This window comes from Homo sapiens, chromosome 22 (assembly GCF_000001405.40).
Source record: "Homo sapiens chromosome 22, GRCh38.p14 Primary Assembly".
NCBI classification, from domain to species: Eukaryota; Metazoa; Chordata; class Mammalia; order Primates; family Hominidae; genus Homo; species Homo sapiens.
Window position 1 is genome coordinate 35,796,109 of NC_000022.11, and position 15,138 is coordinate 35,811,246.

The window sequence follows — 15,138 nt, forward strand, 5'->3', positions numbered from 1 at the left end:
GATTACAGGTATGATCCACTGTGCCTGGCCTACAAAGAAAAGAATCTTCTATTTACATCCCCACCTCCATGTGGGAAACCCTTTTAACTCTTAAACATGACTGAGGATTCAGAGAGCTTTTTGTTTCTTTAGGTAATATCCATTGTTATTTATGGCATTAGAAATTGAAGCTGATAAATTTTTAAAGTATTTAAAAATTAATTTTAAATAATAAGCCAATTATGTGTTAATGTAAATAACATATTTTAAAGAAAATTAACTACATTTTCCAAAACGTAATAAATTTACTTAGAAGACTGGCACTCCTTTTAATGTATGGATTTACTATTACAGTATGTTATTTTAACTTAAGTATACAAAGAAAAATCTGGCCTCACAGATAGCTAGAAAAGGGAAAAGTATTTCAATAGCCTTCTCAGAAAACTGTGGAGTCTTCTTTGATAATACATCAAAACTTGACAAGTGGTACTTTCTTAAAAGTTAACTGCAATGTCGAATCTGAAACCTTATCAGTGAACTTTTCATATGTTATTACACTAAAATCCACTGGACAATCATGCACTTTGCATGAATCTTTTACTCATGATTTTGTAACATTAAACCTCAGTCATTATTTGTAAAATATCGGCTTACTGAGTTACGGAGCTCTTTCAAATGTGAGGACATTGCATTATACAAGACCACATTTGTTACTATCATCACGGATCTCATCAGAAAAAATCTTTAAGTACTGAGAAACTGTCGAGCTCATAGTGGAGGACACAAATTTTTCAAAATTCTAATTTCTACCAGGAGAGCTTACATTTTACCAATGGAAAAAAATAGTGTCAGTTTCTTCCCTTGAAGTGGCAGGCCCACTTCATTTTCAAGAAAATGGTGTATAATGTAAATACTTTCTTTCTTTTTCTTAGTTTGATGTAATTAGAATCATTTACTTAGGAGACATAGCATGTTATTGAGTCTTTCACTTAAATATAAGGTTTTCCTAACTGGATAATTAGGAAAATAAAATACATTTATTTCCCCTTATACACTCTTCAAACATAATTTAGAGCTACCTTCTTTTAAATCAAAATATCAGTCCTTAAATAATTTTTTGAAATACATATATAGGGGCAATAACTACTTAATAGTAACAACAAAACTAATATATTTGAGTGCCAGATGCATAAAACTGAATATTATGGTTTGTCCATTAATTGTTCTTACAAGAAAAAAATGGTGCTCCATGAAAAAAGCAGCTAGTTCAGCTTGCAACTCAATCACACAGTACTTTTCCTTGAAACAATGAAAATATTTTGGTATGTAACACAAGTGCTTTATGAATACTTTTCACTTTGCCATGTAGAATATGAAAAATATCATATACTAATGTGGGAAATTAATAAAATTAATACTTTTTACTGCTTCATCAAGGACATTCTTAAGTGAACGTGATTTTTTTGTTTTCCTGTGAGTCTGTGACAGTGAAGAATATGATGGCTGCCAGCAGCACAGTTTGGTGCCACGGCCTTGATTCATGCTAAGGTGCTAGCAGTTTTACCCACCATTGCTTCTGTACTGACCGTCAAAGCAAATATAGTGAAAACAGCAAGAATGTATTGGTATTACTATGAAAATAATACCTTGCATTGACTTCATAGCTCCCTCGACCCAGACTCTGAAAAAATTTAGGGAACTGCCAGTGATCTGTGGACCACACAGGGAAAATTACTGCTGCAAAGGATTGTCCCTGCCTGCAATGTCCTCTACTTCACTGCAGGCTATGGGTTCACTGTTTAGGAGAAGTAGTACCTACCTTCTAAAAGCATCTCTTAATGAACCCGCTTCATTACTCTCTTTCTAGCACTTATCTGTACTTTGTTTTTCTTTTCTTGTTTTTTTGAGACTGAGTTTCCCTCTTGTTGCCCAGGCTGGAGTACAATGGCACGATTTTGACTCACTGCAACCTCTGCCTCCCGAGTTTAAGCGATTCTCCTGCCTCAGCCTCCCAAGTAGCTGGGATTACAGGCATGCACCACCACGCCTGGCTAATTTTGTATTTTTAGTAGAGGCAGGGTTTCACCATGTTGGTTAGGCTGGTCTTGAACTCCCAGCCTCAGGTGATCCACCTGCCTCGGCCTCCCAAAGTGCTGGGATTACAGGCATGAGCCACTGCACCAGGCCTGTACTGTTTTTCTACTGGAACTTCTATAGGTTCATTGAGGGCAGGGGCTTTATTTTACCTTTTTAAGAACACCTAGTGCCTAGCACAGTAATGTGCACATGACAAGTATATATAAAACAGTTGTTCAATATAATTTATGGGAAATAATGCAGGCTCTTGGGGCCAGATAACCTGTATTTAAATCCTCACACTGACATTTATTAGTTGTGTGATCTTGGACAAGTAATCTTGAATCTCTCTAAGCCTCAATTTCTTCATCTGTAAAAGAGGAGTAATAACGATACCTATTTCACATGGCGGCTATGGTAACTCAATGGAGTTAACACATAAAAAGTGCTTCAAACAATATCTGGTACAAAGTAGGCACTCAAATATATTAGTTTTGTTGTTACTATTAAGTAGTTATTGCCCCTATATATGTATTTCAAAAAATTATTTAAGGACTGATATTTTGATTTAAAAGAAGGTAGCTCTAAATTATGTTTGAAGAGTGTATAAGGGGAAATAAATGTATTTTATTTTCCTAATTATCCAGTTAGGAAAACCTTATATTTAAGTGAAAGACTCAATAACATGCTATGTCTCCTAAGTAAATGATTCTAATTACATCAAACTAAGAAAAAGAAAAGTATTTACATTATACGGAAGAATGTTGGAGAAATGAATTCTGTTACCTAAACTGATGTATTAACTCAGTATTTTTAATAGCGTATGTCTAACACCTTAGACCACCTATACGCCTTTAGAACAACTATAAGCCTTCCCCACCACTAGAAAGCACTTGCTAGTAAGTGTTTGTATCCATAATATACCAATAGAGGTGACAGAAACAGAGAGAGAATTATTTCCTACCCTTAAGAATAATACAATCCAACAGGTAGTTAGAATATGTACACAAATATAAACATCATATCTGAAGAGTATTCACTAAAGCTTGTCTACTTCAAATTCTTTGGTTATTTATACCCACTGCCATTTAGAAAAGTATCTAAAGATACAGGAACTGAGGTCCTTTTTTCTCTGCAGGCAGGCCCAGAGATGATCAAGTGTCTGCAGGCCCAGGTGGTAGACCCCTAACTGCTTACCTCTTTTGCTAATGCACAGTATGGGACCAACTGACTATCAAAATAAGCTCTCATCTTAAGAGCAGAAGCTTCTAGCCCAAGGTTAAAATCGATTTCTAAAACACATTTTAAAAATAAAAATTTCAGATTTTAATGCTCAGTTCTCATTTTTGTACAAGTTCTTTTCTTTTTGTTCTCTCCAACAATCTAAGACCATCCAACATAAGCGAAATATACTTAAATGGAGCTGTAGCTCACAGCAACAAACAGTACAAATAGGGACAACTGATCTTAAAAGACTTATGATGGTTAAAAATAATTACTTCGGCTGGATGTGGTGGCTCACTTCTGTAATCCCAGCACTCTGGGATGCTGAGGTGGGAGAATTGCTTGAGCCCAGTAGTTCCAGACCAGCCAGAGCAAGACACAGGGAGACCCTGTCTCTACAAATAATAAAAAAAAAATTAGCCGGGTGTGGGGGTACACGCCTGTAGTCCCAGCTACTCGTGGCGGCTGAGGCAGGAGGACCATCTGAGCCTGGGAGGCAGAGGCTGCAATGAGCTGAGACCATGCCACTGCACTCCAGCCTGGGTGACAGAGTGAGACCCTACCTCAAAGACCCCCTTCCCCCACCCCCCAAAAAAGGTAATTAGGTAACTATTTAAACAAGTAATTTCCAAAGCATTTCTTAATTTATTCTCACTACAACCCTGTACAGTCAGGTCAAGTATAAACTTCATTTGATAGATGAGGAAACTGAAATTGGAGGTAAAATGATTTATTCAAGACAATTATTACAATAAGGATGGCACAATCTTTGTGCTACCTCTTATCTTACTCATCCAACCAGCTGTCAAATCCTCTATATTCTACCTTCATAATGTCTCCTGAATTCATTCCCCCTCTACATAACCACTTAAGACTGTTTCCTAATCGTCTGCCTGCTCCTCTATTCACCCTGCATACGCTGTGACAGATCAATCTTCTCCGAGCACAATTCTGCTCACTTCATTTACTTGCTCAAAATCTTTAATAAAGTCCATATTTCTCAGCCTGGCATTCAAATACTCTTCCCAATTTATACTCAACTGACACTTATTCCACCTTATTTCCCACTAGTCTCTGCCAAACACCTAAAGCTTCAATCAAGTAGAAACCTATGCTTTTATCCCGAGGCATTTTGATCCTTCTCATCACTTCAACTTTGTATTGAGAACTGACGTTCTTAACTCTTCCCACTACCATCTATGCTTACTCGAATTCTAATTACCATTAATACAAGGCCCAGATCAATGCTGTATTCACCAAGACGCCTCAGCTTCTCTCTCCTCAGAACTGCCATAATACAATTGTACCTAGTTTTTTTTTTTTCCCCCAAGAAGCATTTACTGAGTTCTATTAAGTGTCAGGCACTGTGACAAGTCAGGGAATGCAAAGATGAAAAATGACTTTTTCTTTAAAAGTTTAAAACTTAGGAAGACAAAAGTCAATTTAAAAATCACAATTTATATGTTACATAAACAGCAGTCAGCTTACGGTTCTACTTGAGCCTAAATGAAGGACACACGAATTTGGCTTTGCCTAGAAAAGTCCAGGAAGGCTTTTCAGCAGAGATAAGACTTAAACTGAGTGGGAAAAGATACTAAGTGCTTGCTAAGAGGACTAGTGAATATACACAGTACACCATCTTCTTTCACTACGTTGAATATGGGGAGTCGGAGTGGTAGAACGAAGATTACGGACTTAGAATTCCCCATCTGTAAAAACTCTAATATATCCCAAAGGGATATTTTATAAACCATAATAAAATATTGTTTGTGAAAGCAATTTTTAAACTGAAAAGTGAGATACAAATTTGAGGTATCATTAATAAATCTGTAAATAACAACGCTTCCTGTCTAACTTTTAGATTTAATTGGCCACATGAATTACTAGACCATTGTTTTTAATTGATGAGTAATCAAACTGGATAGACCATTTTAAGAGACATATAGGCAGATAGTAAGTTTAATAAAATAACCTAAATATTGTCAAATCTAGGTTTTACAATGTATTGCTCAACTGTTCAAACTCTCTATATACAACACATACACACACACACACACACACTCTCTCTCTCTCTCTCTCTCCCTCCCCCCGCCAAAAGTAAATAAATGGCTTATGAGCAGTGAATTCACCCTCACATTTAAAATGTACACTTTTGGGCCAGGCAGAGTGACTCACACCTGCAATCCCAGCACTTTGGGAGGCTGAGGTGGGTGGATCACTTGAGGTCAGGAGTTCGAGACCAACCTGGCCAACATGGTGAAACCTCGTCTCTACTAAAAATACAGAAATTAGCTGGGCATAGTGGCAGACACCTGTAACCCTAGCTACTCGGGAGGCTAAGGCAGGAGAATCGCTTGAACCTGGGAGGCTGAGGTTGCAGTGAGCTGAGATCACGCCACTGCACTCCAGCCTGGGTGACACAGTGAGACTCGGTCTCAAAAATAAGATCAAATAAAATAAAATGTACACTTAAAAAAAAAGCATCTTTCAACCAGAGCATCCTAAAAATTTCTCATTTTATTGTTAACAGCTTCCTGAAATTATAGAACTTGTGCTATCTCTGTTCACAGGCACAAATCAAAGGATTTTCCATTTTCTCTTCATCTATTTTTGGCAGCGATAAACTTATACTCTATACATATGGGTTATCTCTTTAGGAACTCAAATTGGTTGACATACAAAATTTCATGGTGAACAGTTTCTGGTATAAATGAGGAATGCAAGTCTTAACTATATATATAATGTAAATATATGTATATTTACATTAAGGAACAGAACTTGCCCTTAATCACTGTCATTAGAAATATACAACTGGAGATCTGAAACAACTGAAAATGGTAGCAATAAAGGAAAAAAGAGAAACAGAAATGGGCAATGATGAGGAGATATGTAGTAAGTAATTTAAAAATGCCATGCAATGATTCAGGGAAGAGACTTCTGGCTATGATGGTATGAACAGGTCAGTGAACTGTTTCCTCAAAAGGAAATGACAGTAAGAAAGTTGGACAAAGTTGTCAAAAACAGCCATTTCAGGATTCTAGAAATCAATCAATGGCAGACAGACAATAAATAGATGTCCTGAGAAATTGCTTAAACTTAGGGGCAAGAGCATCCAGACACAAACTTAATGCCTTAAAACTTAGTTTTATCAGGTGAGGGCTGGGACCATAAAAACCAGCAATTTTCACTGCCAGAGAGGGCAGATCTGACTTGGGACAAGGGGGAGATTGAAGGAGTGGTAGAAAATCCATAGCTCTGACAGCTAAAAGGGGCCAACCTGGTGGGAACCTAACAGGGAGAAGACATTCTTCTAGCTTGAGGCTGTGGTCTGAAGAGGGTGCAGTGGAAGACCAGCTAGAAATCTGAAGGGGAGATCCTGGAAAGAAAAGAGTCACAAAAGGGCCAGATATGGTCTCCTCACATCCCTGGGTGGCTGTGAAACTACATGGATGAGGAAGGGAGACATAAGAGGTCTCAACAGAAAGAAAACCCAAGGCAGGCTTAAGAACTGGCTGAACTTTCCATGCACTTCCCAATCAACCTGGATCATCAGAGGGTGAAAGCTCAATAAGCTTCAGGTGTTTGAACACCACCTCTGCACTAGTCACAGGCTAACCATTAAGCTAGGAAGACACGGGTGCCTCCTAGCCAGGCTAAAAACAATAAAACAACAAATGAAAATCAATAAGCAGAAACACTAGTGGCCGTATACTGTGTGGGAGTCACATGTCATAGTTTAAGTATGGGCAAATTACTTAAAACACACACACACACACACACACACACACACACATGCCCATCACAGAAAAATAAATAACACCCCACAGTCACTACAATGCATTACTAAAATGTCCAATTTTCATTAAAAAATTACAAGCATGCAAAGAAACAGAAAAGTGACCCAGATTCAAGAAAATAAGCAGTAACTAGAAACAGACTAAGGCCCAGATGTTGGATTTAGCAGACAACGTTAAAGCAGTAAATACAAATATATTTTTAAAATTAAGGCTGGGCATGGTGTCTCACACCTGTAATCCCAGCATGTTAGGCAGCTGAGGCGAGAGAACTCCTTGAGCCCAGGAGTTCAAGACTAGCCTGGGTAACATAGCGAGACCCTGCCTCTACAAAAAAATACAAAAATTAGCTGGGTTTGGTTGCATGTGCCTGTAGTACCAGCTACTCAGGAGGCTGAGGCAGGAAGATCACTTGCGCCCAGCAGGTCAAGGCTGCAGTGAGCTGTGATTACACCTCTGCACTCCAGCCTGGGTGACAAAGTGAGACCCTATCTCAAAAAATAATAATAAAAATTAAAGAAAAATATGAGAAGAAATCTCAGTAGAAAAATGTAAATGGAAATTCCAGAGTTGAAAAGTATAATAACTGAAAGAAAAAAAATCACTAGATGGGCTCAACAGCAGATTTGGGATGGCAGAACAAAGAAGGAGTGAACTGAAAAAGAGACCACCAGAAATTATCCAATCTAAAGAACAGAAGGAAAAAAGATCCAAGAAAAATGAATAGAACTTCAGATTTTGTTTAGGTTCAGACTGAATTTTTTTAAGAAACAAAAACCCCTATGGGAGAACACCAAGTATTTTAATTTATGTGTTGGCTGGGCGCAGTGGCTCATGCCTGTAATCCCAGCACTTTGGGAGGCCGAGGCAGGCAGATCATGAGGTCAGGTGTTTGAGACCAGCCTGGCCAACATGGTGAAACCCCATCTCTACTAAAAATACAAAAATGAGCTGGGCATGGTGGTGCATGCCCATAATCCCAGCTACTTGGGAGGCTGAGGCAGGAGAATTGGTCGAACCTGGGAGGCAGAGGTTGTACTGAGCCGAGATTGCACCACTGCACTCCAGCCTGGGCAACAGAGCAAGACTTCATCTCGGGGGAAAAGAAAATTATGTGTAATCAGAGGCCCAGGAAGAGAGAAGAAAGGAAAAAAAAATTTGAAGAAATTATGGTGAAAAACATCCCAAATTTGATGAATATATATTTCAAAATCTCAAGAGAACCCAAGTATGATAAAAACAAAGAGATCCACTCCTAGACACATCATAGAGAAACGGCTCAAAGCCAAAGACAAACAGAAAATCTTGAAATCAGCAAGAGAAGAACAACTCATCACCTACAGGGGGACCAACACCAGGGTTAACAGCTGACTTCTCATCACAATCAGCTGACTCCCATGGGAGTGGTCCATGGGATGACATATTTAAAGGGCTGGGGGGTGGAGGAAGAAACTGTCAACCAAGAATCCTATAGCTAACAAAACTATCATTCAAAACTGAACACATAAAAAAACAACATTCCCAGATAAACAAAAACAGTATTTGTTTCCAGCAGGCCTAAAAAAAAATACTAAAAGAAGTCCTTTGGACTGAAAGGAAATGACACTGCATAATAACTTGGACCTATAGGAAGACATGAAGATCACTAAAAATAGTCAAAAAATAAAATAAAATGAATCCTGTCAAGAAACTGAAAAAAGCCACAGACTGGGAGAAAATACTTGGAAAAGACTTATCTGATAACGGACTGTTATCCAAAATATACAAAGAATTCTAAAATCTAATAATAAGAAAACAAACAACCTGATTAAAAAGTAAGACAAAGGCTGGGCGCGGTGGCTCACGCCTGTAATCCCAGCACTTTGGGAGGCCGAGGCGGGCGGATCACGAGGTCAGGAGATCGAGACCATCCTGGCTAACACAGTGAAACCCCGTCTCTACTAAAAAAAACACAAAAAATTAGCCGGGCGTGGTGGCGGGCACCTGTAGTCCCAGCTATGCGGGAGGCTGAGGCAGGAGAATGGCGTGAACCCGGGAGGCGGAGCTTGCAGTGAGCCGAGATCGCGCCACTGCACTCCAGCCTGGGCGACAGAGCGAGACTCCGTCTCAAAAAAAAAAAAAAAAAAAAAAAAGTAAGACAAAGACCTTACCAGATACCTCACCAAATAAGATATAAAGATAGCAAATAACCACATGGAAGGATATTCCATGTCATATGTCATCAGGGAAATGCAAACTAAAACAACAATGAGATACAACTACATATCTATTAGAATGGCCAAAATCCAGACACCAAATGCTGGCGAGGATGTGGAGCAGCAGGAACTCTCATTCATTGCTGGTGGAAATGCAAAACGGTAGAGCCACTCTGGAATGTAGTTTGGTGGTTTCTTATAAAATTAAACATACTCTTATCATATGATCCAGCAATCATGGCCCTTGGTATTTACCCCAAGAAGTTCAAAACTAAGTCCACAAAAAACCCTGCATATGAATGTTTACAGTAGCTTTATTCATAACTGCCAAAATCTGGAAGCAACCAAGATGCCCTTAAATTGGTCAATGGATAAACAAACTGTGGTACATACAGACCAATGGGTTATTATTCAGTGCTGAAAAAGAAATGAACTATTAGGACTTGAAAAGACACAGAGGAAACTTAAATGCATATTACTAAGTGAAAGAAGCCAATCAGAAAAAAGCTACATACTGTGGGATTACAACTACATGAAATCCTGAAAAAGGAAAAACTATGCAGATAGTTAAAAGATCAGTGGTTGCCAGGGGTTGGGTTGTGGGGAGGAGAGAGGGATAAACAAGCAGACCACAGAGGATTTTTAGGACAGTGAAATTACTTTTTGTGATGCTATAATGCTGGCTATATGCTATACATTTATCCAAACCCACAGAACGTACACCAGTAAGAGTAAACTCTAACAGACTTTAGGTGATAAAGATGTATCAATACAGGTTCATCAATGGTAACAGGTGTACCACTCTGGTGTGCAATGTTGTTAGTGGGGGAGGCCATGCATGTGTGGGAACAGAAAGTATATGGGATAAGTCTGTACTATCTTCTCAGTTTACTGTGAACCTAAAACTGCTCTAAAAAAGGAGATCTTAAAAAAAAAAACAACGTAAGATTGTTTAAAGTAATAATTATAATAGTGTATTGTTATATATCTAAAATATACAGGTATAATATGTATGACAATAGCACAAAGGCGCGTGGGGAATGAAGCTATATTAGACCTAAGCTGCTATATTTAACCAGAATAAGACACACATGCATGTGCACACACACAACCATTAGTAATAAGTTGTGATAAGTCAAAGATGTAATTCCTTGAGAAAGCACTAAGAAAATACAAGAAACACCAGCACAAACAAAAAATAACTAAAGAAAAAATATCACAAATGGATGTAAAAGGTACAAAAATTATTTAACAGGAATCAGTAAAGAAGGAACAAAGGAACAATAAAAGGCATGAGACAGTAAAATGACAGACATAAATCTACCTACATTAATAATTACATTAAGATGCAAATTGACCAAATGCTCCAATAAAAAGACAGAAATTTTCAGACTGGATGAAGAAGCAAGAAGCAGGATCTAGCTGTGCACTTTTTTCGGGGAGTGGGGGACGGAGTCTCACTCTGTGGGCCAGGCTGGAGTGCAGTGGCATGATCTCAGTTCACTGCAACCTCCGCCTCCCCAGTTCAAGCGATTCTCCTACCTCAGCCTCTGAGTAGCTGGGATTACAGGCGCACACCACCACGCCCGGCTAATTTTTGTATTTTTAGTAAGGACAGGGTTTCACCATGTTGGTCAGGCTGGTCTGAAACTCCTGACCTCAGATGATCCAGCTGCCTCGGCCTCCCAAAGTGTTGGGATTACAGGCGTGAGCCACCCCACCTGGCCCTTTCTTTTTTAAATTTTGTTAAATAAGAGATATACTTCAGATACAAAGCAGTTGAAACAAAATGACAGAAAAAAATATGTAAACAGTAACTATGAGAAGGCTGAAGTGATTACATTAATATCAGACAAATAGTTTTACTATTTCTTGGTTAACTATAAGCCAAGAAATAGTAAAAGAGACAAAGAGGGACATTTCATATTGATGAAAAAACCAATTGGTTAAGAATATTTTGTTGGAAAGACTGTCTAGTAAACCATAAAACAAGTCTCAATAAATTAAAAAAAATTGAGATCATGTGAAGCGCCAAAGAAATTAAATTATAAATCAATAAAAGAAAGAAATTTGGGGGAAATCCCCAAACATTTGGAAAGGAAACAACATACTCCTATGCAACCCAGGAGCAAAGAAGAAACCACAGGAAAAATTTTTAAAATGTCTCGAACGAAAAAAAAATAAAAACAATATAGATCATATTTTACGGTATGCAGCTAAAGGGAAACTTTCTGTGTTTACAGTTTTAAACACAAAAAGGAAGAAAATCTAAAATCAATCACCTAAGCTTGCAACTCAAGAGGCTGGCAAAATAAAGACCAAATCAAACCCAAAGCAAGTAGAAGAAAGAAATAATAACAGAGTGGAAACTAATGAAAAATAAAATAGAAAAACAACAAAAATCAATGAAAAAAAAAGTTGGTTTCCTGGAAAAATCTGCAAAATTAATAAACCTTAGCTAGACTGACCAATAAAAAAAGAGAGAAGACACAAATTGCCAAATCAAGAATATAAACAGGGATATCACCACAGACCCTACAAAAATTAAAACGATTATATGAAATTATGAATAACTTTATACCAACAAAATTGACAATTTATATGAAGCAAATTGCTAAAAAGACACAAATTACCCAAACTAACAAGAAACAGAGAATAAAAATGAAAAAAAAACCCTGATAATTAGTATAGAAATTTATTAATTAAAACACCTTGGAAAATCCTCACATATATTTTATTTCTTCTTTTTCACTTCTTTAATTGAAACAGTTATTCTGATAGGTCTGTGAGTTCATGATCATTAAAAAGTTATTTGGAAATGCAGTCAATACATCAGCCTGTACGTTTATGATTCTAGAACAAATGCTACTGAAAGTCTCGTTTGTTACCTATCAAGCCTAGACTCTTAAATTATCTATTGTAGCCAATTATTTCTGAAGTATAAAATTATGTGCTTATACATAACTAATAAACATCGAAAGTAGGAATTTCTTGGTGGTTCAATACTTGATGAAAGAAAATTGAAAGCATTTATGGGTTAAATCCATCCTTAGCAAGTGGCTTAAAGGCTGAGTAAAGCTCTCCTTTTCATAACCAGATATAGGAAAGAGAAAAAGAAATCTAACGACAGAGCTAGGTCTTTCTATGCAGACTGTAGAACATTTCTATCTTTAGAAATAGACCACACAAGGCTGGGCATGGTGGCTCATGCCTCTAATCCCAGCACTTTGGGAGACCATGGTAGGAGGATAGAGTGACAGGAGTTCAAAATAAGCTTGGACAACAACAAAAGGAGACCCTGTCTCTACAAAAAAAATTAAAAAATGAGCTGGGCGTGGGGTGTGTGCTTGTAGTCCCAGCTAGATGGGAGGCTGAGGCAGGAGGATCACTTGAGCCCAGGAGACTGAGGTTGCAGTGAGCTAGCTATGTTCATGCCACTGCACTCCAGCCTGGACAACAAAGCAAGAGACAATACAATTTCCCATATGTTGGTATGTATGAGATATATACCTATTATTAATTTATGACATTTCCTTTACTTTAGCAAGTTAGTAGTAAGAGGTGAAGTCAAAGAGGTAAGCTGGGGCTAGAGACTAGTAAACCAAGTACGGAGTTCAGATTATATTCTAATTGCATTAGGGAACTATTAAGAGTTAAGTAGGAAATCGGCATTTGCATTAAAAAAAAAAAAAAACCACCTTAGTCCTATGTGGAGGATAGATAAGTTAGGCAACAGTAATACCGGAAATAAGTGATGAGGTTTGGACTAGAGCAGTGATGATGATAAATTCTTTTAAATTTCCTAACAGCCTCTTCAGGTAGGTACTATTATCTTCATTTTAGAGTGAGCCAAGGGCAGAGAGATTAAATAACTGGTCCAAGGTCACACAGTTTAGTAGGGGCCATATTGAGATTCAAACACAAGCAATTTGGTGGAAGAGTAATAAGATGTAGAGAAGAAGACGAAGTAGTTTTAGAGTTATGGTTGTCAAGACTTGCTAATCAATTAGATGTACAGATGAAAGAAAGAAAGAAAGAATATTCCTAGGTTTTGCTTGAGTTTGGTAGTATAATTATGCAGAGAAAGGATATAAAATAAAAAGAAAAGGGGTTCCAGGACCTACATATGGAGTACTGCACCATTTAAAAGTTGAACAGAGAAGGAGGCAGGAGCAGAACACCCAGTGCTTGGCAGGAAAATTGGGAGAGCTCGAAAAGCCAAGAGACTAAGTATTTCTAGGAGGAGGGAGGACAATGTATACAATGCTGTTGAGAGAAGGTGTAAATGAGAACAGGTGTAAATGCTAAATTAATTCCGAGAGTCTTCTAATTGTATAATTAAGGCGACAATTTCTATATGATTGCCATGCATCCTTCCATTTTTCACCTCATGGTCCACGTACCGTAAGAGATCCATTTTGTGTGCTGGGTGAGTTGCTGCTCTGCTCCCCGTGGGCTTGCGTACTTCCGTAGAGTGTCAGGTTATGCTCACCGGTCTGGCCGGCATAGTCTTGAGTGTGTGGCACCCCATACTCTGTGGGAATTCCATTCTGCGGAGGTGGTGGAAATGGGATGGTAGTAAAAGGCTGAACCATTGCGTCAGGAGTTGTTGTCGGCTCCTGGTTACCCTAAAACAAACAACAAGAGAAAGAAAAAGTGACTTTGAATCCTTGTTACGTAACTATTTTTAAAGTGAGTATATGGAATTCTCTGAATATTCTCTCACTGCATAGGTAAAATGGAATGCTTATTGCTCCAGGATTGGAGAAAATATTATTACACATACACACATAGATATATGTATGTGGACAGACACACACACACACACACACACACACACACACACACTCACTTTTGTTAATGTGTAGTTACTAGACAGGCCCACAACCATATTTAAGTGGACTAGATGCCAAAGGGGCAAAAATCTTTCCTTTAAATTAAAAGTAGGTGGAGAGCCCACTTTGGACCACAAGCCACTACAGCCTATACCACAGAGAGAGACTCTGTCCCTAAAAAATACGAAAAACAAAAAAGAAAAATCAACTAGGAGAAAATATTAGCAAAAGGTAAGAGAGATGCTGGGTTATTATCACTAGTCCCAGAGTGGGTTAACCAAGTTGACAAGACAGACACACATGTACACACAAACACACACACATCCCAAGAGAAAAACAGGCAAACTGTGTATCTGAACAATTCATTGAAAATGAAATACAAACAACTAATAAAAATGCTCAACCTCACTAACTGTCACGAAAATTCACATTAACATCAAAGTAAGTCCAAGTCTTTAGTCATCAAATCAGCAAAAAAATTAAGCAGTTTTATTATGATATAACTGTCATATGATAAACAGCACTTATTTATTTACAGTATACAATTTGGTAAGTTTTGATATATGCACTTATATTCTCATGAAATCATCACCACAATCAAGATAGTCAACACATATATCCAAAACCCCCAAAAGTTTCCTTGTGCCCCAATAATAAACATATATTACTTTTGTAATAAAACCTATACAAATATATTGTTTTTAATACTAAAGAGAATGACAAAAAATATATCATCAATAAGGGGAAGCCAATATTCTGAAACACTGAATTACTGTGTTACTCTTAAGAGAATGGTAGTGACCTACCTTGAAACAAAAATTCATAACTCTCTTCCATTTAAAAGTTAAACAACTTCAAAATTCAGCTGTCTCCAATGTCCAAGAATCATTTCTACTTGGTAATAAAAACTGCTTTACACAATAGTGGTGAAAGAAAAAAGGCAGAGAATTGGGGGTGGGGGGCTGCCACAGTCTAGATAAAAAGTGATGAACTGATTACAGTTATCAGTGGGAAGGGGCAGAGTCATAGACTGAG

At 37.8% G+C, this 15,138-nt stretch overlaps 1 protein-coding gene across 57 annotated transcripts in view; it reads right to left on the reverse strand.

Annotated features, from left to right (window-relative positions):
- RBFOX2 (RNA binding fox-1 homolog 2) overlaps window positions 1-15,138 on the reverse strand; it is a 290,089-nt gene that overhangs the window by 57,373 nt on the left and 217,578 nt on the right. For all 57 annotated transcript variants that reach the window (NM_001394108.1, NM_001394111.1, NM_001394110.1 and 54 more), the window contains one exon: window positions 13,672-13,896. In NM_001394108.1, coding sequence (NP_001381037.1) covers window positions 13,672-13,896 — 225 coding nt within the window. The remainder of the gene's footprint in view (window positions 1-13,671; window positions 13,897-15,138) is intronic.